The sequence below is a fragment of the Homo sapiens genome, chromosome 2 (genome assembly GCF_000001405.40).
Source record: "Homo sapiens chromosome 2, GRCh38.p14 Primary Assembly".
In the NCBI taxonomy this organism is placed as follows: Eukaryota; Metazoa; Chordata; class Mammalia; order Primates; family Hominidae; genus Homo; species Homo sapiens.
This window is the reverse complement of record NC_000002.12, coordinates 214,737,029-214,764,283: the sequence shown is the minus strand read 5'-3', so window position 1 is coordinate 214,764,283 and position 27,255 is coordinate 214,737,029. Positions and strand designations below refer to the sequence as shown.

General features: G+C 35.6%; 1 protein-coding gene across 11 annotated transcripts in view, besides 2 other annotated features; it reads left to right on the top strand.

Annotated features, from left to right (window-relative positions):
* The window catches only part of BARD1 (BRCA1 associated RING domain 1), an 84,038-nt gene that overhangs the window by 45,400 nt on the left and 11,383 nt on the right, over nt 1–27,255 (top strand). For 8 of the 11 annotated variants that reach the window (NR_104215.2, NR_104212.2, NR_104216.2 and 5 more), the window contains 3 exons: nt 11,729–11,837; nt 18,430–18,562; nt 19,125–19,217. The exons of 1 other annotated variant lie outside the window; for it this stretch is intronic. Coding sequence is in view for 7 of the 10 variants with exons in the window: in NM_001282548.2 (NP_001269477.1) it covers nt 11,729–11,837; nt 18,430–18,562; nt 19,125–19,217 (335 nt within the window). In the remaining 3 variants the exon portion in view is untranslated. Of the gene's footprint in view, nt 1–11,728; nt 11,838–18,429; nt 18,563–19,124; nt 19,218–25,162; nt 26,177–27,255 lie in introns of those variants that run through there. 2 more of the 11 variants (XM_047445350.1, XM_017004614.2) reach the window with 1 other exon arrangement.
* Nucleotides 26,767–26,966: an enhancer, noted in NCBI's record as "active region_17071". NCBI's record gives its function as "activates an Ori minimal core promoter by ATAC-STARR-seq in GM12878 lymphoblastoid cells {active_cell/tissue: GM12878}" and the evidence as "EXISTENCE:reporter gene assay evidence [ECO:0000049][PMID:35858748]".
* Nucleotides 27,007–27,056: an enhancer, noted in NCBI's record as "active region_17070". NCBI's record gives its function as "activates an Ori minimal core promoter by ATAC-STARR-seq in GM12878 lymphoblastoid cells {active_cell/tissue: GM12878}" and the evidence as "EXISTENCE:reporter gene assay evidence [ECO:0000049][PMID:35858748]".

The following is a 27,255-nucleotide window of genomic DNA, read 5'->3' as shown; positions in this document are numbered from 1 at the left end:
CCCTAGTTCTGCCAAGTGCCTAATGTAGTCTGTATCCACATTTGTTTGTAGAGTGAATTAGTGTTTGAATGAATGAAGATTATGGTATACTTTTTCCTCTTTTTTGATAAAAGGTCAGATGACATGAAAATGGGAATTGCCTCCTTCTGCCACTACCTTTACTGTGTGACAAGATGTCTAAAACCAAGTTTCCCATATCTGTGCCTTTTCTAAGGTGGTTGAACTGGTTCCTGGCAGCTTTTGCCCAATTGGCATCCATGGCATGTTACTTTTTGTGGGATTGTGGCTACCCAAAGTAATTCCTATAGCCTTGACTTTTAAGTGCATGCTGTCTCAATGTTCTAGAGACTGTCTTCTAGAATTAGGTAGTAACAGGTGAGAATAGATGAAATTTATTCCTGCCCTTTCCTCCATTTCTTAAGGAGATCATGGGAAGGGGGTCTGGAGCATGGAGACTATGGGATTCTTACTACTCTTCTATTTCTTCCTGAAGCTCTTACTCCTTATAAACCATTAACATCTCAAATTCTGGAATCTGAGTTGGCAAACAAACTTTTTCTGTCTCTGCTTACTGTATCTCTTACTCTTGCTGGAACTCTTTTCTCAATAACCAGGCCTGAACTCTTCCCATGGAAGAAGGGTAAGAACCAGCAAGGGCAAACACCATTCTGTCTGACCCTCTTTAGGGTTTGCTACTTTGGCTGATTGAAGAAGTAAAGTCCTTTTTGCTTACTGTAAATTTCTAAGTGGCCTCCTTTAGCTCTAGCATAGACATTTTGGCTGTGTTCTTCATGACCTCAAGGTTGAAGTTTTCTCTTAGATGCCTTCCTTTCTTCTTAAGTCTTCTCATAGTCCCTCCATTGCTCCTTTGCCTCATCATCCCCTCAGTTGTCTGCCTGCTTCTGTTCTAGTAGGAGTGAACAGTGAACAGTCTGTTAAAGCACTGATTATAGAATGGTGTGAGGTATGCCTTCATAGCACGGTGCTCACAGTAGTATGAAAGTCTCAGCTAGGGCTGAAAGTAAGACCAGAGGAAGTCACAGAAGGCTTTCTGGAAGAAGAAGAACTTCGAGTTTTGAAAAAATAGAACGGGAGGATGGGATTTTGAGAAAGATAAGATATGGGTGCTAAGGTACTCAAGGCCAGACTGCTTCTTCATTCATTCTAGGAACTTCCGTTAGTGATGTAAGTGGAATAAAAGGATGGAGGAGGATGAGAGGCCAGAGAAGATGGGCAGGGTCTTTGAAAGGCTGTGTGTGCTAAACAGAGTGCTGATTTTAAGTTGAAAACCTCCTCCTTCACACTGGGGAGGGAACTCAGTTAAGAGGTTTGTCCAGTAATCCAGGAAAGGAGTGATGAGAGTCAAATCAAAGTAGTGACAGTAGTGGTGGGAGGGGGGTGGGGTGGAGAATTAGCCATATTTATTAATTTATTCTTTCAAATGAAGTTTGATTTACTTTGTACTGTTTCAAAAATACCATATTAGGATGTTTTGAAGTTGGGTACGTACATAGATTCTAGTGGAGTACCGATTAGGATGTTGATTGAAATTGGTAAGTATATACAGTGGATTAATAAAGTTGGTTTCTATCAAGTCGATTGATAAACTTTATGTCGTGTGTTATTCTTTAAATGAATACATCAGTTTGCTAGGTTTTTGTTTAGGAATTTTGCATTTTAAAAGTTAGAGTGATTTGTGATTTTATCTTTCACTTCTTGTCGGTAGATTTTGATATCAAAGTTAGACTCATAGCTTCTAAAAAGTAATCAGGACCAAGCTGCATGTCTCCATTTGTTTAAGCATTCTGTTATATATATCTTAGTAAAGTTTTTAGTCTGTTTCATATATATGTATGTAGGTATACACATGCATATACCTATTAATTGAGGTTATTCTAGTTATAGACTGAGTATCCCTTGCCCAAAATGCTTGGGATCAGAAGTATTTGGGATTTCTTTCAGATTTTGGAATATTTGCATATACGTAATGAGATGTCTTAGGGATGGTTCTCAAGACTAAATGTGAAATTTATCTGTGTTTCATAAACATTTTATACACATAGCCTGAAGGTAATTTTATACAATATTTTAAACAATTTTATGCATTAAAATGGTTTTTTAAGTACTGTGTTTGGAATTTTCCGCTTGTGTCATATTGGTGCTCAAAAAGTTTCCAATTTTGGAGCGTTGCAAATTTCAGATTTTTGGATTAGCAATGCTCAACCTGTATAGTATTTGATTATTTGTTGCTAGTAAACTGGATATTGTGTTAATAAATATAATTTGTTATTCTTGATATATAGGAGAGCTGTTGATTTAGTACGTTTCTATCCAGTCAACACCTAATTCTAAAGATCTAATTATCATTTATTAACTTCTATTTCTTATTGCATTTGTCAGTGCTTCCAGAATGATGCAATAATGATGATAGTTGGCTTGCTTGTTTTGTTCTTCCTTTTTTAAAAAAGTACTGACCCATAGAGTTATAGTCAATACTAATATCCATATTAAATACAAAGATTAATGTTCTTTATTGCCCTGTGGAAGCTTTCTTCCCTTTATTATTTTCTAACAAGACTGTATTTTATTTTATTGAATGATTTTCAGCTTCTGCAGAGATGATCTTATACTTTTTTTGTTTTTGTTTTTGAGATAGGGTCTCACTGTGTTGCCCAAGCTGGTCTTGAACTCCAGGGCTCAAGCGATCCTCCCACCTCAGCCTCCCAAAGCTTATGCTTTTTTGACTATTGATGTTGTTAATACATTTAAAAATATTAAATAATGCTTGTATTCCTGGGATAACCTTGACTTGGTGTTGTGCATCATTTAAACACAAATTTTACATGAATTTGCTAGGGTTTTAGGAATTTTGCATTTATGATTATAAGTTAGAGTGATTTGTGATTTTTATCTTTCATTTTTTTGCCTCGGATTTTGATACCAAAATTATACTCATAGTTTCTAAAAAGTAATCAGAATGCTTTTTTTTTTTTTCTTTTTACCTTTCCTCTTCTCTGGAACATGAATAGAATGTCTTCTGGAAATATCCTGCCCCCTGCCAACTTAGCATAACAGTATCTATTTTGATAACTCACATATTATATAATTTTTGGAGATCTCTCTAGTTTTGTTATTAGTAGTAATCACTCTGATAGACCAGTGTATTCATAATAAAATACAGACACTAAAGAGAAAATGGACTTTTTTTTTTTATCCCATCAAGTTCATCCTTAAAAAGTCCCTGTGGATTGAGAAGCCAAGGCGGGTGGATCCCGAGGTCAGGAGATCGAGACCATTCTGGCTAACACGGTGAAACCCCGTCTCTACTAAAAATACAAAAAATTAGCTGGGCGTGGTGGTGGGCGCCTGTAGTCCCAGCTACTCGGGAGGCTGAGGCAGGAGAATGGTGTGAACCCGGGAGGCGGAGGTTGCAGTGAGCCGAGACCGCACCACTGCACTCCAGCCTGGGCGACAGAGCGAGACTCCATCTAAAAAAAAAAAAAAGAAAAAAGTCCCTGTGAACTGTAAAACTTTTACCTATTTTGACGTTTTATCTGAGGCTGTGATTTTGATTAACTTTATAACTTTCCTGTTACTGTAAGAATATTAGTTTGAATTAGAAGAGTAAATATTTTTGTAATGCAGCCCTAGGAGAGAGAAGAAAAACTAAGACAAAATCCAGCCATAGAGTTAGTCTCGGATGTCACTGGGAGAGAGGAAGGCTTGTATAAGAGGGCTAAGTAATCCAGGTTTTATCCTGATACATGTTCTGGCATTATTAATAAGTTATGGGCCTGGCGCAGTGCCTCATGCCTGTAATCCCAACACTTTGGGAGGCCGAGGCGGGTGGATCACTTGAGGTCAGGAGTTCGAGACTAGCCTAGCCAACATGGTGAAACCCCATCTCTACTAAAAATACAAAAATTAGCCGGGTGTGGCGGCGTGTGCCTGTAGTCCCAGCTACTCGGGAGGCTGAGGCACAAGAATCGCTTGAACCTGGGAAGCGGAGGTTGCAGTAAGCCGAGATCGTGCCACCACCCTCCAACCTGGGGGACAGAGCGAGACTCGGTCTCAAATAATAATAATAATGTATCATGAATGGTGCTAAGTAAGATGTGACTTTAAATATTGGAGACCAGGCTTAAGAAGTACCTTTTCAGTAGTGACATATAAAATATAAAGATAACTGAGAGCTTTTTTTGTAGCCCAGGAAGTGGGGACAGTAACCAACTCAGTCATATAAGTTAGACATTGAATGTGTGTGGAAGACTAGACATAGGAAAAAGAATGGAGTATTATCTGCTGCAAAGCCAAGTGAATTTAAAAGCGTCCTATTGAATATTGGTGGAGGGAAATCTTGAAACCTTATAAGGCAAGGCAAAATAGCTAAGAATTAACCATATTGTGGTATGAATTTAAAGTCAATGATACTCTTTATTTGCCATCTTCACTATTTAATTTTAAATTAAATGAGCTTTTATAGTTCACCAGTGAAGTCTCCCAATCCTATTTTTTCCCATAGAGGCTGTGTTCTTTATTAATTTTCCTACTGCAATGTTTTTGGGCCCTAAATCTTTATAATTATGGAGGATTCGAATGTACAGTGGAAAGTCATATATCTACTTCATACTTTCTCTTTTGTTTTGATTTAACTCTAATATTCTGGCAACTTACTGTTTTTATATGTCTTGCATTTAAATAACAGTATTAAGTCATTTAACCCTTAATTTTTTTTTGCATAAAAAAAGTACCTTTTGTGAGCTAAAACAATAAGAAAGTCAGTTCTGTTTTAACCCTAGATCATGAAAAAAAGATTTATAATCTTTGTTGTCTGGGAGTATTTATAACTGTTCAAAACATCATTGGTAATCTGTCTTCCCCACTGCCCTCTGTACATCCCAGTGTGAAGCTAGAACCACAGCTCTTACGGTCACATGAGAACCATTTTGAGTGTGTGGCGAATAACATGTGCTTCTTTTTTTTTATTTTTAATGGATATGTAGGATTTTAGAATGTGGTACTTGATCTGCCATTAACAGTTTTCCTTGGAAGGATGTTGAATTCTGAAGTAGAAAATATTACATGGACCATTGGACCTATTAATTGTCCCACTGCCCTAGGTTAATTTTAAAAAATTAATTGCCAGAGATAATTTATGTTTTATAGCTTTAAAAACCCATGTTGCTAGTTTGAATTACTCTGCTTTATCCTGCTCCATAGCAAGCAAAGTGACTTGAAAAATTAAATCTATATGTTTGCAGTTTTGTAGTTATTCATGAAGGGTTTCATTCATGAACTCTCTTGGTATCCTGTCATGCGTGATAGATTTAGTATTAGTAAAAATGCCTTTTTGCATATGTTTTTGCAGTTTGGATGGTCTGTACATGCAAGTACAAGTTTAAATTTGCCCATCTCTCCTTTCTCTCTTTTATTAGTGGTGTAATGAATTCAGATCACCATTGTAGGCAGGTGTCTGCCATATTATTACTGAGGGGAAAAGGATATTAAAAGGTTATACTGCATCCTGAATGTGGCCTTTGGGACAAAACTGAAACATTGAACACCACAGTTTAGCCCTTTCATAAGTACTTCCTTTTCCTCATCTTCAGGATCAGAAGGATTCCTAGTTAGGAAAAGGATTTTCAGAGTTATGTGGTTCATACTCTTTAGATAGTGCCACATGGGAAAATGAAAATCTACTCTTAGAATGTTGTTAAGAAGACATAATTCTATACTTTCCCTTAGTAAACTTCCAGATTATCATGAAAAACATGCATCAATTGTATCATAAAATTGGGGAAAATGAAGATATGAGGTTAATGCTCCAGACATAACTTATTTTGTGCCCTTATCTTCATTCTGTATCTGTCTTCCAAAAATGCAAATCCAATACAGTAATATAATGGCAGTTATTGAGCTGTTCATATATGCTAGGTACTGTTTTAAATGCTTTTGATGTATTCATTTGATTCTGGCAACAATCCTGTAAAATAGATAGTGTTATTATTTCCATCTTATAAATGAGGAAACAGGCACGGGATTTAAGTAATTCGTGTAAAGTCATAAGACTTTTGAGTGGCAGGGCTGAAATGTAAGTTCAGGCAGTCTTATTCGGTAACCCCAACTCTTAACTACCATGCTACGTTGATGCCATCCCTCCTGCTTACAATGATTTAGGAAGCTGTTCAGGGTTTCTTATTGCCTTTGGGAGGAAGTCCAACTCTTTAACACCTCCTCTTTGTTCTTATATAATCTGACCATAGCTTACAGTTCGAGAGTACCTCATATTCCTGTGGTACATTCCCTCTCTTTCTCTCACTCTCCCTTTACCCCCTTTTTTCCTTTTTTTTGGTGGTTCTAAAAAGTTCTAAGTGCTATCTCACTTAAAGTCCTTCACACACTTTTCTGTCTGCTAGGATATTCTTATTCTGTTTGTGTACCCGCTTTTCTTCCTTACCCTTTCAGGTCTGGGGAGCTTTACCAGACTGCAAAACCTTTTCTGTGTGCCTCTCTGCTTTCCTCCTCTGAGTTCTGTGAGGACATTGTTTCTATAGTGCCAAAAGTTGTTGGTACATTTTTTTCAAAGTATTTGCTGAATGATGACTATTTTCCAAACTAATTGCAAAACAGAGTTTGTGACTTTTCCCCCTACTTGTTTATACAAATATATTCATTCCATGTGTGTTAAATAAATAAACGATTATTGCTACTTCTGATATATGCAATATATATATCATGCATTATGTATATTAATACATATATCCATTTTCACATAGGTTCTATCAACATCAGTAACAAATCATCCAGTATTTCATACTACATTTTAGATAGCAAAAAGCAATGACACATGAACACCTGGATTGTCTGTTCAAGATTTTAAAATGTAAAATCTCCAGTCATATCTTTAAAGATTTTATAAAGCATATTTTCCACATTATGATTTAAAATCATAGGTAAAGGAATAGCGCAAGAGTACATTAGAAAAAAAAAAAACTGGTGAAATCTGCCAGTGTACTGTGTTGTCAAGGAACAGAAAAAAAATTAGAGCCTTTGAATTTTTAGGATTCAGTATATGTATTAGTCCCTTTTCATACTGCTGTGAAACACCTGAGACTGGGTAATTTATAAGGAAAAGAGGTTTAATTGGCTCATGGCTCCCCAGGCTATACAGGAAGGGCCTCAGGAAACTTACAGTCATGGTGGGAGATGAAGGGGAAGCAGGCACATCTTACGTGGTCAGAGCAGGAGGAAGAGGCGAGGAGGTGCTGCAGCCTTTTAATTTATTTATTTATTATAATTTTTTTATTTCCATAGGTTTTTGGGAACAAGTGGTATTTGGTTACACAAGTAAGTTTTTTAGTGGTGATTTGTGAGATTGTGGTGTACCCATCACCCGAGCAGTACACACTGAACCCAGTTTGTAGTCTTTTATCCTTCACCACCTTCCCACCTTTTCCCCTTGAGTCCGTGAAGTCTGTTGTGTCATTCTTATGCCTTTGCATCCCCATAGCTTAGCTTCCACTTATGAATGAGAACATACAATGTTTGATTTTCCCTCCTGAGTTACGTCACCTAGAATAATAGTCTCCAGTCCCATCCAGGTTGCTGTGAATGCCATTAGTTCATTCATTTTTATGGCTGAGTGGTATTCTATTGTATATATACACCACAGTTTCTTTATCCACTCATTGATTGATGGGCATTTGGGTTGGTTCCACATTTTTGCAGTTGCAAATTGTGCTGCTATAAACATGCATGTGCATGTATCTTTTTCATATCATGACTTCTTTTCCTCTGGGTAGACACCCAGTAGTGGGATTGCTGGATCAAATGGTAGCTCTACTTTTAGTTCTTTAAGGAATCTCCACTGTTTTCCATAGTGGTTGTACTAGTTTACATTTCCACCAACAGTGTAGAAGTGTTCCCTGTTTACCACATCTATGCCAACATCTGTTATTTTTTTATTTTTTAATTATGCCCATTCTTGCAGGAGTAAGGTGGTATCAATATGGTTTTGATTTGCATTTTCCTGGTCATTAGTGCTACACCCTTTTAAACAACCAGATCTGGTGAGGACTCAATCACTATCACAAGAACAGCAAGGAGGAAATCCGCCCCCATGATCCAGTCACTTCCCACCAGGCCCCACCTCCAGCATTGGGAATTATAATTTGACATGAGATTTGGGCGGGGACACAAATAGAAACCTTATCAGTATAGGTAAAGTATATTATCTACATATAATCATTTTCAATTCACTGAATTCGCGACTGTCCGTTGATAAGGCATTAAAAGAACTGACTGTCGAAAGTGGTACATGTAAAAGATATTAATATACTGTCGTGTACTAGATGTAAATTCAGCAGTTAAGATCTCGACATTTTCATATATTCCAAAATAGTTTTAAATATTTTGGTGTTGCATTGACCCATGTCATTTAGCTAGTAGACACATGTGCCTTTCCATTTTCACAGCAACATACGCTTTGTGTCTGTAATGTTCATTGCTTTATATCTGATTTTTTCATTGGTTTTTCATACTGTGTTTGGTTTCTACACATGAGCACACAGTGCCTAGAAGGTTTGATAGAAAGCTTTCTTCCATCAGTTGCATCCATTTCAGTAATCATGTTGCTTATTCCCTACACGGCCCCTTAACAGTTAACCACCATATTCCAGTTTCTAGTCCTGGGATCAAGGCCATTTAAATCTTATCTTCTATTTCACCTCATTACTTGTTTGGGTTTATACTTTATCAGTTTGATACCTGTTTGTTGAATGAACGTTTATCCTCAGTAGGATTATAGGCAAGGACAGTGTTTTTCTAAGTCTTATGTGTCCCTCCAAAACACCTAGTTTGGTAAAACTTTAGGTTAAATCATGCTAGAAAAGAGAGAATTTACTATATTTAAGTGTATTTAGAAAAAGCCATTTTATAAGCTTCCCCAGTAACCCATTCTAATAAATATCAAATCAAGTTATTGATGTCTGTTTTGAGTCCATGATGTAGTAAATCTAAAAAAGAGTCTTCTTCCCTTGTATAGTGATGAAGAATAATGTATTTATCACTGACTTCTCTATTTAGTAATAAGTCATGTTAATAGTTCCTGAGATACATTTCAACATAACTTTTCCTGTATGTAGTACCTATTAGTTTTACAATGGGAATAAAATCCACCTCTGTGTATTTTAAATTGATTTTTCACACTAATTCTCTAACTAAAGTGTTAGTCTGTTAAAATACATCAGTGGGAAGAAAGCACACATTATTGTGCCCAAATAATAAGAAATCTTACACATGCCCCATCTTCTCTTGCTATGGTCTTTGAACGTCCCACATGTAAACTTACATCTACTTCCAAATTTTAATGGTTCATGACAAAGCAGAAGCAACATGACTGGATTTAATAGGCTCTATTTCCCATGATGCAGGACTGAGGTAAACTGATTATCTTTCCATCTGTAGCACTTGTAATGTGCCATTCAGTTCATTAGCGTTACAGGAGGGCTAAGAGTTTAGTGAATTGTGTGTGAGCAGAAGCCATCCATAATCCAAGCAGAGAAACCACATGTTTTAAGACCATATGACATAGTAAGCTTTGTATAGTAAGGATCCTAAATGTAAATTGGAACTCTGGTAGTCACTTTGTAAAATCATCTTACTGGCTTAGACCATGTTTTACTGGCTGATTTTTGGTTTATATTCCTCCCTAGCTGATGGTGGTACTTTGAGAAGCACTTGAACAGTTTTTCATGTTGTCATCATGCACTTTTTTTCAAATATGTGTAAAATAACTATGCTAATGTGATTCAGTTGCTGTGCATTAAAGTGCACTTGATTGGGCTCTTAGATTTTATTTTTTTGAGGTGTAAGGTCTATGTTTGTCTCTGTCAAAAAGTCCTAGTGTATGCATGGATTTTTTTTTTTCTCATTTTTTCTTTTTTTGTTGAAACAGTATCTCTTGCTCAGGCTGGAGTACCATGGTGCAATCATGGCTATGCAGTTATGATTTTTTTTTTTGGATGGCATATAATGTGGCCATTATATGTTGTTGTTGTTTTGTTTATTCATTTTTGCACTTGGTGGTTTAAGACCTAGAACATTGGTTCTTCAACTCAGATTTCTATTTTTTGATTGTCATATGTATAGCATATGTGGGTGAGGAGATTGTGTAGTTGGTATATGAGCATAATAATTTAGAGAATGAATTAGGAAGTATCAAGAATAGTGGATGAGTTTCTTTTAAAATACCCTGAGATTGTCTGCTGTAAATGTATACTGTGACATGTGTCACTTTGTTTTAAATTATAAAGCTGAAATGCAATCCGCTGTATTATATCTTGGCTGGAGAAAGACTGTTGCCAGAGGAAGGTTGTTGGACTTGGACATAAAGAAGAGTCAGAATACAAACTTGTCAGTGTTTACCCAGGACTGTCCAAAGAAGAAAGCAATTGGACCTGATAGTCACGAATTGCAGTCATTAGAGAAACATTTGCTGTGGTTCATTTCTTATTCTAATACATTAGCTTTCTTTTCCCACTCTGCCATCAAAACAGTTTTCACCAAGGTCATTAGTGACCTTGTCTGTGAACTCAGTAGATGCTTATATCCCTCATCTACATGATCTCTCTCTGCAGCATCAAACGGAATTGGCATTTTTCTACCTTTCACTTCCCCTAATGTTTCTCTCTGTTTCCTTCCAGATCTTTTTCTATACATTTGATACAATTTACAGAATTAGTATTATACCATGTTTATAACTTCATGTCCCATTTACTGCATTGGATTTTCACATGGACTTCTGTGGCCATTATATGAATATAGCATAATCTTTAAAAAAAACATAGAAGACTATAAAAGAATTGCTCATTTTGAAAACTTCTTGCCATGGTATAGTGTATTTAAATCATATTCTGAAACCATATGTAAGGAAACAGAATAGTAGACAGAAGTCCTTTAGTTTTAACAAGTTACTTATAATTGAAAGACTTTAGGCTGGGCAATATTTAATTTCAGTGAAATTGAACAAGGAGAATATGACCTTAGTTAAGCCATTGGAACTTGTTCTTCTCTCTTTTTTTTCTTATCTTGAACAGGATCAAACTGGGATCTCTAAAATCTCTTCCAGCGTAACATTCTGTGACTTGTGAATTAGTACATGCTGAGAAGTTTGTATCTCTCTGAGCCATAATACTTTGTTCTGCGATGGTTGTGATTATTATAGGTTATTGTATGCACACATGTTTAAATTAATTTTTAAAGTACCCTGTTAACTATATTATTAAACTGTTTGTTATGTGGCATAATTTTCCTTCTAGTAGAACAAAATCCCTGTCCTGTGAATTTATCTAATTTTTTATTGGTTTATAAAGACTATATGGCCTATAATAGCTATAGTAAATGATTTTTATTGGCATTTGAAAGTCTGTCACTTATAGTGATTGGTGATTATGAAGCCATATTTTAATATGAATAAGAATGCAGAATACAGTTGTGAAAAATTCATAATACTATATTCAGTAAAAACAATCCCTATAATCTGATGTCAAACTGAAATTTTACATCATTTCTCCTTTGAGTTCAGCAGCTTTTGATTCTAGATTCTTCTGCCTAATATGAGTTCTGAGTAATTTATTTTAGTTAAAATTGTATATTATTAAGGATGTTGAAAAATTGAGTCGAGTCACACATTTGACTTACTTAAACACATCTGCACTTATTTTACCAGTAATATATTTGGTCTGCGGCCTGTCGATTATACAGATGATGAAAGTATGAAATCGCTATTGCTGCTACCAGAGAAGAATGAATCATCCTCAGCTAGCCACTGCTCAGTAGTAAGTATGGATTTAGCTTTGGGACATTTATATATTTTATTAAAATTGGTTATGAAAGGAACATAATAGAAAAATTTCCATTTGACCAATTGCTTACATTCACCAAACAATTATTGAGCACTTCCTGAGTATTAGCTACTGTGGATTCAAAGACATAATCACAGTACGACCATCTAGAAATACTTATTGAGCCCACTCTGTATTTTAGGCAGCATTCATAAAACAATGAATATGACTGGTAGAACTCTTATTCTCAGGGAGGAGCTTACCATCTGGTGAGAGGTAGGAAAGAGACAAACTGTAAATATTGAACTAATATAAATAAAATAATTTCAGACACTTAGACATGAGTGTTTCGAAGATGTTGTAGAGTGTCGTTGGGTGGAGGTAGTGGGCTTCTGCAAGGCCATTGCTTTAGCTAGGGTCACAGAGTGGAGCCTTAAAGCACTGATTTGAATTGAAGCCTGAATGTTGAAGTGAGGAGGCTGCCAGGTGACTATCTGGAGGACACAGTGTATAGGCCCTTCAGTGAATGAGGCTGGTATGTTGGAAGGTTAGAAAGAAGTTTGTTATTGCTGGAGACTAGCGAGCATCAAAACGGGACTTTCGGATAGATTACATATGAAGTGTGGGAAAAGAATGGAATAAGTATGACCTTAGCAGGGAAATAGATGGTAATGCCATTTGTTGCCATGGAGAAGGAAATCAATAGTTCTATGTGCCAATTTGATGTCTGTAAAACATGAAATGGAGATATCGAATAGATAATTGGATATGAAAGTCTGGAGCTTAGGAGAGAGGTACAAGCTAGAGATAAAGTGGAAAGAATGCCTGTTTCTTAGGAACCCATAGCTTAGCAGGGATTTCAGATATAAAAACTTTTACTGTACATTGTAATAAATTTGTAAAATAAGCTATAAAAATATACAGTAGAATCAAAGTAAGTAGAAACTACAGGAGATGTCAGGAAAAATTTCACAGAAAGGCCAGGTGCAGTGGATCGCACCTGTAATCCCAGCACTTTGGGAGGCTGGGGCGGGTGGATCACTTGAGGTCAGGAGTCTGAGACCTGCTTGGTCAACATGGTGAAACCCCATCCCATCTCTATGAAAAATACAAAAATTAGCTGAGTGTGGCGGTATGCGTCTGTAGTCCCAGCTACTAGGGAGACTGAGGCACGATAATTGATTGAACCCGGGAAGTAAAGGTTGCAGTGAGCCGAGATCAGGCCACTGCATTCCATCCTGGGTAACAGAACAAGACTGTCTCAAAAAAAAAAAAAAAAAAAAAAAAAATATATATATATATATATATATATATATATATATACACACACACACACACACACACACACACACACACACACAGAATTTCACAGAGAAAGGTGTCCTAAGTCTTTCAGGGTAAACATTTTAGCAGAGTGTCTAATAGAATGCTGTTGGCTGCCAGTAACAGAAAACCTTTTCTCAAATGCTTGAAGACAATTTATTACTTTATATAGAATTAATCCCAATGCAGGATAGCTCTGCATTTGCTTAATTTAGCACTTAGTGGTTGCATCAAGGAACCAAATTCTTTGTATCTCTTTACCTTGCCATCCTCAGTTTGGGGGATTTGTCCTCACTAAGAAGTTTCCTTTAATGGTTGTCGAATGATTGCCACAATTCTAGATATGACAGTGGCCAACTGAAAAAGAGACACTAAAGTCTTTCCCTGAAGCCTTTCCGTGGACTTCCCCTGTGTCTTATTGTCAGAAATTGATTTTGACAGCCCCTCCTGGGGCTGGAGGTTAGGGTCAGTCTTTGAAAGGGGGGCTACCTGAACAAAACTGGGCTTCTGTTAGTGTGGAGGAAGTGAGCAATAGATTTTGAGTGTAACAGCCAACATTCCCCACTGCAGTCAGGTGTACAAAGTGAGAATGGCAGCCCAAATCTAAGGAACAGCTGCTCAGAGACAAGGAGGCATAAAGGACCTTAGGAATTTGAGAAACTATAGCATTTACTGTGAGAGGAGTATGACGTGTGTTTAAGAGGGATTCAGGGTAAAGGGTTAGGTTGGGACCAGATTGTGAAAAGCCTTAAATTCCCTGATACGAGTTTAGACTTAATAGGGTACCTTCAGTGTGTTTATAACTGAAATAGGACTGTCTGCAGGCTAGCTGGGAGTAGGAAGAGACTGAAGGCTGATTGGGAGGCTGCAGTAGTGGAGACCAGGTTTGAAATGCTGAGGACTGGAATTATAGATGGTAGTTATGTGGGGATGGAGAGAAGAAGAAGAGTTTTAGAGAGAGTTGGTAGACTCACCAGATCCCAGTACTGCTCAGATGGGGGAAAGTAACAGAAAGGGAGGAGCTGAGGTCAAGGATCATTCACAAGAGTAGTAGTAGATGCCATTGTTTAAGATAAGGAGGTAGCCTAAGGTAGCTACAGTTTGATACTCTCATAGATGCTTTCATGAGCTAGTTGCTTTCATATCTTGAAAACCCTATGTCTTCTGCTTTAGACTTCAGCCTTATAAATCTGTTCCAAACTATAGTTTTGGTAATGAATTGGAAGAGAAGCTAGAAATCAGCAGTTTAATTTTCTCACTTTACAAATGAGAAAAGTGAGACCTAAAGAGGCTATGATTTGCCCCAGGGTTAACCAGCCATTAAAAAAAAAAAAAGGTTGTTTTTTTCTTTATTAATGGACCAGTTAAAACTCACATTTCTTAAAACTTAGGTCGGTACTCAATTCAGTCCCACCGTACTCAGCAACTATAAATTGACTTGTTTTCTTCATTTGTACTTGAAGTCTGACAGAGCATAGCATAACCAAGTTGTCCTTTGCTGATGTTCCTTTTATGTAAAAGCTGGAAAATGATTACTTTAAATGTGTCAAGAATAAAGATATCTTTATGGTATTCTTGGAGTCTGGGGGTGGCAGTGCCTTTCAGAAAAGGAGGGTTTTTATTACATGGAAGAGACCTATACTTTGGGCATGTCATGTAGACATGGCCTTTTGAGTTTTACTATTTACTGTCTTAATGGTTGGTACTTGGCTAAGGAAAAGATAATATCAAGTCCTTCAGGTTTAAAGGGTAGTTTCTTAATGTGCAGTCCTTAAAGATGGAACCTCTGGAATATACCTTCCCCCAGCCACTACCAGTCTCTTCTTCACTCACTCTTTTTCAGTCACATGGGCTGCCTTACTGTGTCTTGAGTCCACCAAACATACTCTCATTTCAGGTGTGCAGCACCACTTGTTTAGTTTTTTTTTTTTTTTCCAGGAACTAGATGTTCCCATGGCCAGCTTCCTCACACCCTTCAGACCCAGCTCTAGCATCGTCTTAGCAGAGAGGGCTCTGTGCCACTGCACAGTAAATAGCAACCTCCCAGTGCTGTCTAACCCCCTTCCCCTGGTGTGTTGTACCATACTATTTCTCATTTGATGTAATGTATTTTTATTTTCTTGTGTTGTTTTCCCCTCTCAACTAGAATATAAACTGTGTGAGGGCAGGGGCTGGCTCTTCTGTTTACTATAGTAGCCCTAGCATTGAGAACAGTGTTTGGCACATACTGAGTGTTCAGTGTGTGCTGAATGCATGAAGGAACATTAGAGTATTCTTTATGATACATACTTGCCTCTGAAACAAGCACAAGTGCTTGGTAGCGTCATTGGGAACCCTTTAAATCAGTGATCTCCAGTGAGCTGCTTTAGGGAAGCAGCTCACTGCTTCCCTAAAGGAAGGGGTTTGAATTTCTCTCCTTTCTCTTTAGAATTTTTATGTTTTAAGTAAAATTTAGTGGCTGTTGGAAATCTGCTTTGAGAAGCAACCTCTAATCTTTTAAAAATTTAAAAAACTCCTTATCATTCATTCATTTTGAGACTTCTCTGTTTGTGATTCATTTTAAGCAGCATGTTTACCTTTTTAATTTTTTTTCTAGATTTTTTAACCCCATTTTTGATGAACTTAAGAAAAACTAATGATTTTATCTAAGAAAAAGTACCCTATTTAATTATTCCTTTGAATTTAATGCTAATGAACATAGTATCTAATCTCTATAAAATCAGGGTATTAAACCTTTGGGGTGTTTTTTGTACCTCTTTTGAGCCTCATGGGTCAGAGACCTATGCTTATTCAAGTCAAATCCCCAGCCCCCATGCCACCTCACCCCAAATCAGACATGTGGCTTTGGCAGCTGTTTGCTTTATGTTTTATTATAGCACTCTTTAACTGTGAGAAATTAGTGCCAGTTTCTATTTTTTATGCAAATTTTTAAAAGTATGATAGGAAAATACTTGACCCACTTTGGTGCTTTCCTTGGGTTGGTAGAAATAGTATCATATGCTATATTTAGAAATGATATCTTTTTCACTCTTGTGTTTTGTGCAGAGAACTAATGTAGCTGAAGTGGAGTTATATAAATTGAGAAGTAATGTGTTCTGTTTAGAGCTATTTTTATGGTATTTGTGTAACTTAAGAATTTTTGAAATACTGTAGTGTTTTTAAATATTATCAAAGAGTAATTGAACAATCCATAAAGTACACTGAATATTTTCCTTTTTTAATTTTTTTATTTTTTATTTTATTTTATTTTATTTTATTATTATTATACTTTAAGTTTTAGGGTACATGTGCACAACGTGCAGGTTTGTTACATATGTATACATGTGTCATGTTGGTGTGCTGCACCCATTAACTCGTCATTTAGCATTAGGTATATCTCCTAATGCTATCCCTCCCCCCTCCCCCCACCCCACAACAGTCCCCAGAGTGTGATGTTCCCCTTCCTGTGTCCATGTGTTCTCATTGTTCAATTCCCACCTATGAGTGAGAACATGCGGTGTTTGGTTTTTTATCCTTGCAATAGTTTGCTGAGAATGATGGTTTCCAGTTTCATCCATGTCCCTACAAAGGACATGAACTCATCCTTTTTTATGGCTGCATAGTATTCCATGGTATATATGTGCCACATTTTCTTAATCCAGTCTATCGTTGTTGGACATTTGGGTTGGTTCCAAGTCTTTGCTATTGTGAATAGTGCCGCAGTAAACATACGTGTGCATGTGTCTTTATAGCAGCACGATTTATAATCCTTTGGGTATATACCCAGTAATGGGATGGCTGGGTCAAATGGTATTTCCAGTTCTAGATCCCTGAGGAATCGCCACACTGACTTCCACAAAGGTTGAACTAGTTTACAGTCCCACTAACAGTGTAAAAGTGTTCCTATTTCTCCACATCCTCTCCAACACCTGTTGTTTCCTGACTTTTTAATGATAGCCATTCTAACTAGTGTGAGATGGTATCTCACTGTGGTTTTGATTTGCATTTCTCTGATGGCCAGTGATGATGAGCATTTTTTCATGTGTTTTTTGGCTGCATAAATGTCTTCTTTTGAGAAGTGTCTGTTCATATCCTTCGCCCACTTGTTGATGGGGTTGTTTGTTTTTTTCTTGTAAATTTGTTTGAGTTCATTGTAGATCCTGGATATTAGCCCTTTGTCAGATGAGTAGGTTGCAAAAATTTTCTCCCATTCTGTAGGTTGCCTGTTCACTCTGATGGTAGTTTCTTTTGCTGTGCAGAAGCTCTTTAGTTTAATGAGATCCCATTTGTCAATTTTGGCTTTTGTTGCCATTGCTTTTGGTGTTTTAGACATGAAGTCCTTGCCCATGCCTATGTCCTGAATGGTATTGCCTACGTTTTCTTCTAGGGTTTTTAATGGTTTTAGGTCTATGTGAGGAGGGTTTATAGCGTTTAGGTTAGATGTGGTTACATCATCTTACAATTTAGTGACTAGGAAAGATGAGCTGAACTTTTAAGTGCTGAATTCTGTCATTTACAAACACTTTTATGGAAATATATATATATATGGACATATATTGTTTCCTGGAGTCTTTCACTTCTCAGCTTTAATGCTGTCCACTCTTACCTTCTCTTTATTTTTGTCTTTTTTGTCTTCTGTGAATTCTAAGTCTAGATTTTAAAGTGAAACTATTAGTCTTTGTTACAGCACTTCTTTCTTAGTCGTGAGCTATATGGACTTCTTACTATTTATGGATCTGATCTCCTAAGTTTTGAATTAACTTGTCTGTTTTTATCTTTTCCTAGTTTTGAGGGGTTACTATTTTGATGCTAATTTGTTTTCTATCTTTGAGGTCAGCACTGTTCTAGAAGCCTTGGCATTCTTTGATTTTTCAGATAATCTCAGTTTAAACTAAACAAGTTTGATTTTAACTCTATTGGGACAAGTTAGTGGAGGTGGAATAGGGAATTGCTGATTTTAAGTGGATATTTTAAGTTACTTGGGAAAAGAAAAAGACTTACTGGTGACTGAATGAAGTAAAACCCTAGAGAGACCCAATTTAAAATTGAAGAAATGAGATGCCCTGGGTATAGAGAGCTATCACAATTGACATTTTCTTGAGGGAAAAATAAAGAGAAAAAATTTATTTAAAAGGTTCTGGGTGTAGATTCAATGGAAATAATTGAAAATTATTAGAGTAAACTAAGTAATGAAATTCAAGCTTATATCAAGTAACAGTCTGTTTAATGTCTTTGTCTAGTCGTCTAATGTTTTTAACACTGGTATCTCCTTTTATATTAACAGATGAACACTGGGCAGCGTAGGGATGGACCTCTTGTACTTATAGGCAGTGGGCTGTCTTCAGAACAACAGAAAATGCTCAGTGAGCTTGCAGTAATTCTTAAGGCTAAAAAATATACTGAGTTTGACAGTACAGGTGAGGATTTTGAATTTTGGGAGGTGGGGTAGAAAAAATGTTAAATAGATGATCCTTTTGGAGAACTACCTTTGATAATTTACATATGTTTTAACCATTGGGAGATGGCTGTATACTTTGCATCTTGTAATACATCTAAATTTTTTTTCAGTAATAAACTACTTATAGACAACAACGTAGTTAGGAAATGTAAAGTTTAAAGGTTTGCATATATTTTAGGACAAGACAGTATTTCAGAAGAGCAAATTTGTGACTTTTGCTAGTGACAAATAAATTGTTGTGCAGTGTAATGTCATAATCCCTTAGCTGTAATTTGAAAATAAAAATTTGTGTTTGCCAATATGGCTTTAAGATATATGGTTTATGATCTGATTTTTCATATTGATGGCCAGGTTAGAGAACTAGATACTAAATAGAAGTAGTCTTACACTTAAGTGTAAAAATTGTTGCCTTTGAAGATTCAGATATAAGCTTACAAAATATAGATGAGTTATAAGAAGCAGGCCAAAGAAATACTTTGGCTTGTATCTTTCTTTCTCTTACTGCTTTTTTTGTATTTTAGTAACTCATGTTGTTGTTCCTGGTGATGCAGTTCAAAGTACCTTGAAGTGTATGCTTGGGATTCTCAATGGATGCTGGATTCTAAAATTTGAATGTAAGTGTTGGATTTGAGAGAATTAAGAAATGAATTAGACTAGTTTTGTTTTTCATGGTTATTAATGCCTGTGATTAAGGAACTTGATGTTAATTTTCTTACCTCTGGTTAGTCACTGCATTTTGGAAAAGCTTCTGGCTGGGCGTGGTGGCTCAAGCCTGTAATCCCAGCACTTTGGGAGGCCCAGGTGGGCGGATCACAAGGCCAGGAGATCGAGATCATCCTGGCTAACACGGTGAAGCCCTGTCTCTACTAAAAATACAAAAAAATTAGCCGGGCGTGGTGGCGGGCGCCTGTAGTCCCAGCTACTTGGGAGGCTAAGGCAGGAGAATGGCGTGAACCTGGGAGGTGGAGCTTGCAGTGAGCCAAGATGGTGCCACTGCACTCCAGCCTGGGCAACAGAATGAGACTCTGTCTCAAAAAAAAGAAAAAAAGAAAAAGCTTCTCATATTTATGGTGTCATTTAGATGTCCTTAGTAAATGTATATACATATGTTCTGGTTTTAAAGTCTTTTTTCCTACAATACCAACTATTTCAATGAAAAGTAAATGGAGTACATAGTATACTTTTAAGCCTAAGCGATTCATGTTACTGTTAAATGATATATTGAATTTAATAACACATGTTTTAAATATACTGCATGACATGTCTGTGAAATGAAAGCAATTTATTGCTTTTCCTTTATGATTACCTGCATAACACCCTTTTGGTCTTAGTTAATTTAATCCAGTATTTTTAGGAAGCTGTTGGGAAATTGACTGCCTTTTACTACTTTAGTTGGAGTCACTATACCAGCTATCTCAACCTCCACTGAAAATGTATACCTGTTCCCCTCTTCTTGCTGATAGTCAACCCACCATCACCTTCAGAGCTGCCTGTCACCTTCCCTGCTGTCACTCATTTACATTTCTACTTGGATTCTCTTGGGACTTAAAATGAAAAGAAAGCTCATACACGATTATTTTCTACTCCTTAATAGTTAACATATCTACTTTTGATACTATGGCTAACATAGAACAGTGGATTGACCTTTTTTTGTTTATTAATTGTTTACAAAAGATTAGTAGTTACAAAAGATTAGTGGTTACAGAGGAGGAATGTGGGGAGCAATACAGTTGCGTATCTTGATGTTAGTGGTGGCCATGTAACACAAGACTACCTGAGATAAAATTATGCAAACAAGTGCATTTATAACCAGTGAAATCAGGCCAGGCACGGTAGCTCATGCCTGTAATCTTAGCACTTTGGGCGACCGAGGCAGGCAGACCAGCCAGGCCAACATGGCAAACCCCCTTCTGTACTAAAAATAGAAAAATGAGCCAGGCGTGGTGGCACATGCCTGTAATCCCAGCCACTTGGGAGGCTGAGGCAGGAGAATCACTTGACCCCGGGAGGTGGAGGTTGCAGTGAGCCGAGATGGCGCCACTGCACTCCAGCCTGGGCAACAGAGTGAAACTCCATCTCAAAAAAAAATAAATAACTAGTGAAATCTGAATAAGCTCTATGGATCGTATTGAACTCAATTTGTTGGTATTATGTTATAGCGGTGTTAGATGTTAACATTGGACACTGAAGGAAAAGTACGTGGGACATCTCTGTACATTCCTTTGAAACTTCCTGTGACTATAATTATTTTTAAATAAGATGTTAAGAAAGAACAGTGGGTATATTTATTGAAACTCTTTATGAAGCAACTGATGGATTAAAATTAGTTTATAAAAATGGTTTTATGGCTTTGTGCTTTGAAGGTTTTATGGTAGAATGCCTGATTTATCAAGATCTTAATTATGTTATTAATTTAATCTGTAGTTAGAAGTTGATTTGGTTTGTAAAACAGTTTCCTTTCATCAATTGGTATTCATGTCATTTTCAAATACAGCTACCACTTCTTTTTTTGTGATGCTTGTCTCAACCAATGCAGTCTGATCCAGCTAAGAGGCTGTGACTAGCAATGCCACTCCATCTGTTCTCATCAATCCCTATTAATTAGTCCCTCCTAGTTATGATGAGTTTGAGAAGTATAAGTAATTGGACTAATTTGTCTCACTTAGTTTTGAACTTTCTTTTTCCTTTTAAATCTGTGAAAGTCTTATTGAGCCTCAGTGTTTAAAAAATTCATTTAAAATGGTTTCATGATTAGGGATGCTTTTGTATCAAACCTGTGCCAGAAACCTTTCCAGTGGTTATAAGGAGAAATAGATTTTCATCATAGTAAGGTCGCAGTAATAAAGAAGCCATACGAAATTTTGAATGTTAAGACATTTACCACTTAACTTTTGAGTCTAGTTCTTGTGAATATGCTGAAGTGGCATTTGGTTACATATACAGGCTACATGATTTATTTCCATAAAATATGCCTTCTTTGGGAAATGTGGGTTTTGTCACTTTAATATCTTGGCCGTGTCGTTTTTATAGAACCACTGATGGACTCGGACTAACTTAATAGTGTGCTATTTGGTGATTCTGACAGTAGTGAATAACATCCTCTAATATCAATGGTTCTTTTAGGATAAAGGATGGATGGAATCCCTTACTGAAGTTCATATCGTCATATTTTCTAATATAGAGTACAAAGAGAAACAGATTCAAAGTTTGAGATACTTCCTTTAAATAGTCACTGGGTTTACAAAAAGAAGGCAAGAACCTTCAAATAGTTCTTTCCTAATATATATTTCTCATAGTTTCTATACTGTTCTCAGTGTCAAGCATCTCAGTTTGATTCTTTGTTTGTTTTTTAAGAGATGAGGTGTCACTCAAGCAATCCTCCAGCTTCAGCCTTCTGAGTAGCTGGTACTACGGGTGCACATCACTGCACCTGGCTCAGTTTGATTTTTAAAAATGTTTCAGAGCTATTTAAAACTATTTGAAAACCATTCATATTAAAAGATGATAGGTGGACCAAAGCTTTCAAAATTAATTTTAAAGATTTATGACTTTTTAAAACTAGGTCTCATGTTTGAGTCTGTCCATTAACTTGCTGGTAGACAAAACTTCAGGATTAACTATTAGGAAACTTTCATATTAACTTTTCATGGGATTTCTCATAAACCAAATAGATTCAAGTAGAATTTTATTTGTAATTTTCTCTATAGATAATCAACACATTTTATAAACTAAACCATTTAACAAAAAGAATTATACAAAAGATTTGGATCCATTGGGTCCAAATTTAACTATGAGAAGTTTTCTGTTGAAGTGTTCTGTCTTAATTGGTTAATATCTCTTATTTTCCTACATTGTTTATACAGAGTATCTTACAGTGCCATAATTAATGAACTTAGCATGAGGATTCTGAGACTAAGCCATAATTTTACAGACCATCCAGTCTATCTTATATTTCTTTTACAGATATTTTACAGAATGATACTTATTTTATATTTTACAGAAATAGGAGCTATAGATAAGAAAAGTCCCTCCTTCAACATCAAAATGGTGAGGGAGACTCTACTTTAGTCCTAGTCTGGGTGCTAATTTCTCACAGGCCATTAGCACCACCCTCATACAAGGTTGATTTTGGCATTAAAGAGGTGATAAGAATGAAAGAATAGAAGGTATATAAATAAGTCATCTTACGAATCTCATAGAGTATGAATAAGATGAAACTGTATCCTAAAGATGCAAACTAGGCCAAGATAAAATGTTTTCTACTGACCTATTCTTTTAGTACACTGCTTTCAAAATTTTTTTGTATCTTAGCCTTTTTTTCTAAAATAAATTTAATTCTACATCTTCTTTTCTTATCTCATTATGAAGGGGAGAACAGATGGCTGTCATCTTTTCTTTAATAATCTTTCCCTCTTCCCCACTCTCATCTAAGTTTAAATAAAATTGCAGCTGTAGAAGTTGTAAAATTCCCCAGTACCTAAGGGAATTACTGAAGGAATGTGCCAGACATTTTACACTGGATTTATGTCTGTGAGATGGGGAAGGGCTAAATTGAGTGTTTTTTCATTTTTGTTTTAGCTGAGGAGAGATGGACCCTAGAAGACAATCATTACATCATCATTTAATAAATAACCTCATAATCAGGCTAACACATTAATTCTTTTCAAACAAATTCTAACAAGTTGGCTTCTTTAAATGGATACTGAGAGTACTATGGAATTTTAAAATTAAATGCAACTTTTATTCTATACAGACTTTGCTAATTATTTAAAAAAAAACATTCGTATAAATTAAGATTGATTAGGCAACTTTATGCTGACAGAAGGCTTCCACCAAAGATTGTCTAAGAATAAAAAAAAATAACATCCTTTGATCTAATAGTCCCAGTTCTGAGAATTTACCCTACGCAAGAAATACAGATGAAAGAAAAAGTATTTGCAGTGTTACTTCTAACAGCAAGAAGTAGAGAATATAACCTACATATGAAAGATTAGGAAAATTCTGAAATGCCTGAAGATACTCTCTGGAAAAAATGCATATTTTTAATATGATAAATATTAAGACTAAAAGATTATGAAAAATAGAATTGTTTAAATTTTAAACACATCAAAATTATATCTTCACTTTCAACAATATATAAATGTATGCATGCATGTGGGTAAAAAAATAATCAAAGAGCAGTAAATTGGTGGGTTACTGAAGAGGACTATTTGTTTATAACAGTTTTAAAAATAGTGTGTGCCTGTTAGATCAAATTTAAGTTCTCTAGGAATAAATTAATACGTTGAAATTTTCAAGTTGTAATAATAATTGGAAGTATTTTCACTTTTCTAACGATTAATTGGATAGGGAAGGGCTTTGGTCTTAATTAGGGAAATTAGAACCTGCATGTATTTATTCCTCCCATCTGATACAACAGGTCTTTTATACCTGTTTAATGGATACCCAGCAAATACATTTGAATATGGTGATTGTCCTAATCAGAACAGAATTTTTTACATAAAAATTTGAACTTTTAATATATGACTTCAAAAGAACACTGAGCATGAGTTTTCTAATAATTAGGAGAATTTTTGGACGTTAGACTGTGTTCGGTTTTTAACCATACCTATATAGAGACAGACAATTTTGATATTATTCATAATACAAGAGATAGACTATTTTGATATTTTGATATTATTATGCATAATACAAGGTCTTAGAATTGATACCCAAGTTTTGTCTAAGAAAAATTTATGATATAATAATATATTTTTGCAATAGAATTTAACCTGCTTCTCAATGCATTAAGTAAAATAGCAAATTACACATCTTGTAATGTGAAGAAATATATTTCTACATATAAATATGCTGATAGCCAGAATTTTTACTAAAATGTCAAAAATAAATAATTGCTAAATGATATTTATATGGAGCCAGAATTTAATGACTGTCGACAGTATTTAATGAGATATCTCAAATCTTAAATGGAAACATTTAGCCTTTATTTTATATTTTCAGCCTTTATTTCATTGTCCTTTCACTTTTCGCTATGGAAGTTTCAAATTTCAAACTCATTTCTCTGTTCTTTTACTTAAGTTTTCCAAAAATTGCAGTGATAGTATGCTACTGTTTTTTCATTTTTGTCATTGTTGTAGGCTGCCTATTGTGATGTCCCTTTTTACTAAAGTTTAGTGCTGTTATAGTTTACTCGACTAAAAAGTCTAAAATATAATCATTTGCAAAACACTTGTTTTGCTTTTACAATCTGGGTGTTGATTTTTAATAGAATCAAAGGAAATTCTTTAATTTTTATTTTACTTACATACTGTTATCTTGAGTGACACACATCCCTAATTTAAACATCTTTAGTTTAGATCTAATGACATACTGTAGTAGAACATTTGTTTTCATATAGAATAGTGATGTTTGATTCTGTATTTTAATTTTTTTTTTTTAGGATATTTTGTATTGACTAAAAGTGGTTAATTCTGATTCCCATAGCTATTTCAGTTACAAATAGCCATTAATTCCAGAATAATAACAACCCTTTTTTCCCCTCCCTCACTCTGTCACACAGGCTGGACTGCAGTGGTGCAATCATAGCTCTTTGCAGCCATGAACTCCTGGGTTCAAGTGATCCTCCTGCTTCAGCCTCCTGAGTAGCTGGAACTACAGGCACTCACCACCATGCCTGGCTAATTTTTTTTTTCTTTTTAGTTGAGGCAGAGATCTCACTTTGTTGCCCAGGCTGTTCTTGAACTCCTTGTTTCAAGCGGTCTTCCTGCTTCACCCTCCCAGAGTGCTAGCATTACAAGTGCGAGCCACCAGGTCTGGCCTAAAAATTCTTTAAAATGTGGATCTGTTTACTACTCTGGGATTTGAAGAGTGAGAAAATTCTAAGTATGGCTTTCCATGCAGAGTTAATAATCGTCTCCTCCTTTGGACATTTAACAGATCTCCATTTTGAAGTTTTCTTCCATCTTCATTGTATTCTCTCATCATTTTTGTATAACTGTGGATTCAGGAACACCCCTCCTTTTTTTAATTTCCTTGCATTTGTGTTATCTTTTTTTATTATAGGAAATGTAAGCTTAATATAAAACCATGACCATCATCAGTGGTCCATGCAGCTAAAACAGAAATATACATCTACTGATGTATATGCTTTTATGAGGTAGGAGGAGAGAGTGGTTATTAGCAATTTAGAATAAAAAAATACCTTCTGTACAGTACAAGTTTCTTTATAGAAAAGTGTTGTAGCCCTGGAATTCATAAGCGTCATTATTATGCAAAAATTCCAGGCTTTGCTAAGGTAGACAGAGCTACCTTAATGACTTTGGGTTAATCAGTACTTTAGAAATGGGGCTGCTTACCTATATGTAAAAAATTAATAAGATCTCAGGAAAAAAGGAAAGCTTACATGAAATGGAGAACATGATCAGGAATACACCTGGGCTAAAAGAATCTCTAGTTGTAATAGCTAAGTAGTTCATCCGTTTGTTTCTGCGAAGTGATAGCTTCAGTCAAAACCTTCAACTATAAAGGAACATATGAAAAGTAACAAAGATGAAATAAAGCATACATTTTATAAGGTTAGTGGCTTGACACATTTTCAAGTATGTATCATTCTGGCATATGCAAAAGTTATGTTTACGTAAACTTACTCATGCAAGGTAATTTTAGTAAGGAAATTATTAGCCAAGAAAGCTAACTAAAATGTGGTCTTATATTTGTATTTTTGCTTTTTTTTTCTTCAAAAGGAAGTAGAAGAGTTCATCTTTCTACTAAACTGATGGAATAATTATGGACTTTATTAACTGTTTATTACAAATATAAAATAGTTTAAATCTTAAAATGTAACTGTGTTTTAAATGGAAAATAGGTTAAGAATTCTTGCTGCAGATTGCTTAACTTTTATTCAGTAAATAAAACCTTAAAATGTTAGTCATTATTTAGGCTTGGGTTAATTAAGTAATGTTTGGCTGGTAGATTCTTCCAGTGCATTGATAATGTATCACCATTTGAATTGCTGAAAGTTTATTTTAAAGCATTTCATTCTTATTTACTTTTCAGTAAATCAACTCAATTGATTTGTCTTAAAAAAAGGTTCAGTAGGAAGTTGATATGAATTTGTAACTGTGGTATTGTCTCCGGAGTAGGTCATCATTCTGAAACTCACAGTTTCAGATAACAAGTTAGACAGTGGCAACCTTAGCATGTCGGATTGAGTAAGCACATTGATCCAACTAAAAATAAAGATGAACAAAAAAACTTGATCTGTGACATGGAGGATATTTCAGTTCTCATCTCAGTTATGTCACTGAGAAAGCCACTTAAATCTCTTGGGACTTAAGTTTCCTTATCTATAAAAGAGGTTGATTAGACAAAGCATCAAAAGTTTCAAATCGGCAGGCTGAGGACTCTGAGGGCTGAAGGAAATACAGTGTCTGGTTTTGTCTAACATAATTAATTTTTATATATTTAGGCATGATGTTTGTTACAGTCTCCATAGCTTCCTACCACCTCACACCAGGTTCTTCACACATTTATGTAATCTACCTGGCTTTTGTAGGCATTTGAGTCGCAATCCTTGAAGTAGTTGTCACTCCCAGCTTTGAAAAAATTCTAGAGATTTTCTATGCTATAACAGCAACTTTAACAAAACACTTT